Source organism: Homo sapiens, chromosome 9 (assembly GCF_000001405.40).
Source record: "Homo sapiens chromosome 9, GRCh38.p14 Primary Assembly".
Taxonomy (NCBI): Eukaryota; Metazoa; Chordata; class Mammalia; order Primates; family Hominidae; genus Homo; species Homo sapiens.
Window position 1 is genome coordinate 32,957,225 of NC_000009.12, and position 3,442 is coordinate 32,960,666.

At 45.1% G+C, this 3,442-nt stretch overlaps 1 annotated feature.

The window, feature by feature from the left end:
• Positions 268-1,467: an enhancer, noted in NCBI's record as "BRD4-independent group 4 enhancer chr9:32957490-32958689 (GRCh37/hg19 assembly coordinates)". NCBI's record gives its function as "activates an origin of replication core promoter dependent on BRD2, P300/CBP, MED14 and CDK7 cofactors, and independent of BRD4, by STARR-seq in HCT116 cells {active_cell/tissue: HCT116}" and the evidence as "EXISTENCE:reporter gene assay evidence [ECO:0000049][PMID:35650434]".

The window sequence follows — 3,442 nt, forward strand, 5'->3', positions numbered from 1 at the left end:
AGCCTGGCTCCTGGAAATGCAAACTGGAGTTTCAAAAAGATGAAAACATTCCTGGAGAATTTTTGGTGTTTTGGAGAGTGCCTCTGGGCAGATCACACACTGTGACAAGTTCCTCAATTGTGAAAATTCAATCATGCTTTCCACAAAGAACTGACTTTTCACACTTAACACTGGAGGTTGCTCATTTTCCCCCAAATCTTGAAGTGGATTTGGGATTAAGATACCAAAGCAAATGCATAGTTCTTTGAGCACTGCTCCTATCTCATGGTGTCTGCATACTGGCAGACAGACACAGGCAGGAAGTAGGGGGCCTCTGCTGATGGTTTCCTTGGAGTTAGAAAGGTTTGACACATCCAGCCCAGAGAAGGCAGAGGCTCCTGTAACCCCACCCTGCTGCCAGCTGTCAGTAGAAGAAAAACAGCTGGAGGAGGGGGGAGATCTCACACTCCAGTCTCCCTAATTTGCATGGCTTTCTGCTAGCAACTGTATTCTTTCCTCTTAAAATTATTGTAATCACAAATTCTCATTATTAGGGACATGGGACATTGGGAGAGGAGGAAACACTTTATATTAAAAAATTTCCGCTTGGTTCCAAGATGGCCGAATAGGAACAGCTCCAGTCTGCAGCTCCCAGCGTGATCGACACAGAAGACGGGTGATTTCCGCATTTCCAACTGAGGTACCTGGTTCATCTCATTGGGACTGGTTGGACAGTGGGTGCAGCCCACAGAGGGTGAGCCAAAGCAGGGCAGGGCATCACCTCACCCAGGAAGCCCAAGGGGTCAGGGGATTTCCCTTTCCTAGCCAAGGGCAGCCATGACAGACTGTGCCTGGAAAAATGGGACACTCCCGCCTAAATACTACACTTTTCCAATGGTCTTAGCAAATGGCACACCAGGAGATTATATCCCGCGCCTGGCTTGGCGGGTCCCACGCCCACGGAGCCTTGCTCACTGCTAGCGCAGCAGTCTGAGATCGACCTGTGAGGCAGCAGCCTGGCAGCGGCAGGGGCGTCCGCCATTGCTAAGGCTTGAGTAGGTAAACAAAGCAGCTGGGGAAGCTTGAACTGGGTGGAGCCCACCACAGCTCAGCAAGGCCTGCTGCCTCTGTTGACTCCACCTCTGGGGGCAGGGCATAGCTGAACAAAAGGCAGCAGAAACTTCTGCAGACTTAAACGTCCCTGTCTGACAGCTCTGGAGACCTGTGTTCTCCCAACATGGCGTTTGAGCTCTGAGGACAGACTGCCTCCTCAAGTGGGTCCCTGACCCCCGTGTAGCCTAACTAGGAGACATCTCCCAGTAGGGGCTGACTGACACTTCATACAGGCAGGTGCCCCTCTGGGACGAAGCTTCCAGAGGAAGGATAAGGCATCAATATTTGCTGTTCTGTAATATTTGCTGTTCTGCAGCCTCCGCTGGTGATACCCAGGCAAACAGGGTCTGGAGTGGACCTCCAGCAAATTCCAACAGACCTGCAGCTGAGGGACCTGACTGTTAGAAGGAAAACTAACAAACAGAAAGGAATAGCATCAACATCAACAAAATGGACATCCACACCAAAACCCCATCTGTAGGTCACCGACATCAAAGACCAAAGGTAGATAAAACCACAAAGATGGGGAGAAACCAGAGAAGAAAAGCTGAAAATTCTAAAAACCAAAGCGCCTATACTCCCCAAAGCATCACAGCTCCTCGCCAGCAACAGAACAAAGCTGGACGGAGAATGACTTTCACGAGTTGACAAAAGTAGGCTTCAGAAGGTCGGTAATAACAAACTTCTCCAAGCTAAAAGAGGATGTTCGAACCCATAGCAAGGAAGCTAAAAACCTTGAAAAAAGGTTAGATGAATGGCTAACTAGAATAAACAGCATAGAGAAGACCTTAAATGACCTGATGGAGCTGAAAACCATGGCACGAGAACTACGTGACGCATGCACAAGCTTCAGTAGCCAATTCGATCAAGTGGAAGAAAGGGTATCAGTGATTGAAGATCAAATGAATGAAATGAAGCGAGAAGAGAAGTTTAGAGAAAAAAGAGTAAAAAGAAACAAACAAAGCCTCCAAGAAATATGGGACTATGTGAAAAGACCAAATCGACATCTGATTGGTGTACCTGAAAGTGACAGGGAGAGTGGAACCAAGTTGGAAAACACTCTTCAGGATATTATCCAGGAGAAATTCCCCAACCTAGCAAGGTAGGCTGACATTCAAATTCAGGAAATACAGAGAACACCACAAAGATACTCCTTGAGAAGAGCAACTCCAAGACATAATTGTCAGATTCACCAAGGTTGAAATGAAGGAAAAAATGCTAAGGGCAGCCAGAAAGGTCAGGTTACCCACAAAGGGAAGCCCATCAGACTAATAGCAGATCTCTCGGCAGAAACTCTACAAGGCTGAAGAGAGTGGGGGCCAATATTCGACATTCTTAAAGAGAAGAATTTTCAGCCCAGAATGTCATATCCAGCCAAACTAAGCTTCATAAGTGAAGGAGAAATAATATCCTTTACAAACAAGCAAATGCTGAGAGATTTTGTCACCACCAGGCCTGCCTTGCAAGAGCCCCTGAAGGAAGCACTAAACATGGAAAGGAACGACTGGTACCAGCCACTGCAAAAACATGCCATATTGTAAAGACCATCAATGCTAGGAAGAAACTGCATCAACTAACAAGCAAAATAACCAGCTAACATCATAATGACAGGATCAAATAAACACATAACAACATTAACCTTAAATGTAAATGGGCTAAATGCCCCAATTAAAAGATACAGACTGGCAAATTGGATGAAGAGTCAAGATCCATCAGTGTGCTGTATTCAGGAGACCCATCTCACATGCAGAGACAAACATAGCCTCAAAATAAAGGCATGGAGGAAGATCTACCAAGCAAATGGAAAGCAAAAAAAAAAAAAAAAAAAAAGCAGGGGTTGCAATCCTAGTCTCTGATAAAACAGACTTTAAACCAACAAAGATCAAGAGACAAAGAAGGCCATTACATAATGGTAAAGGGATCAATTCAACAAGAAGAGCTAACTATCCTAAATATATATGCACCCAATACAGGAGCACCCAGATTCATAAAGCAAATCCTTAGAGACCTACAAAGAGACTAAGACTCCCACACAATAATAATGGGAGACTTTAACACCCCACTGTCAATATTAGACAGATCAACGAGACAGAAAGTTAAGAAGGATATCCAGGAATTGAACTCAGCTCTGCACCAAGCAGACGTAATAGACATCTACAGAACTCTCCACCCCAAATCAACAGAATATACATTTTTCTCAGCACCACATCACACTTATTCCAAAATTGACCACATAGTTGGAAGTAAAGCACCCCTCAGCAAAGGTAAAAGAACAGAAATCACAACAAACTGTCTCTCAGACCACAGTGCAATCAAATTAAAACTCAGGATTAAGAAACTCACTCAAAAC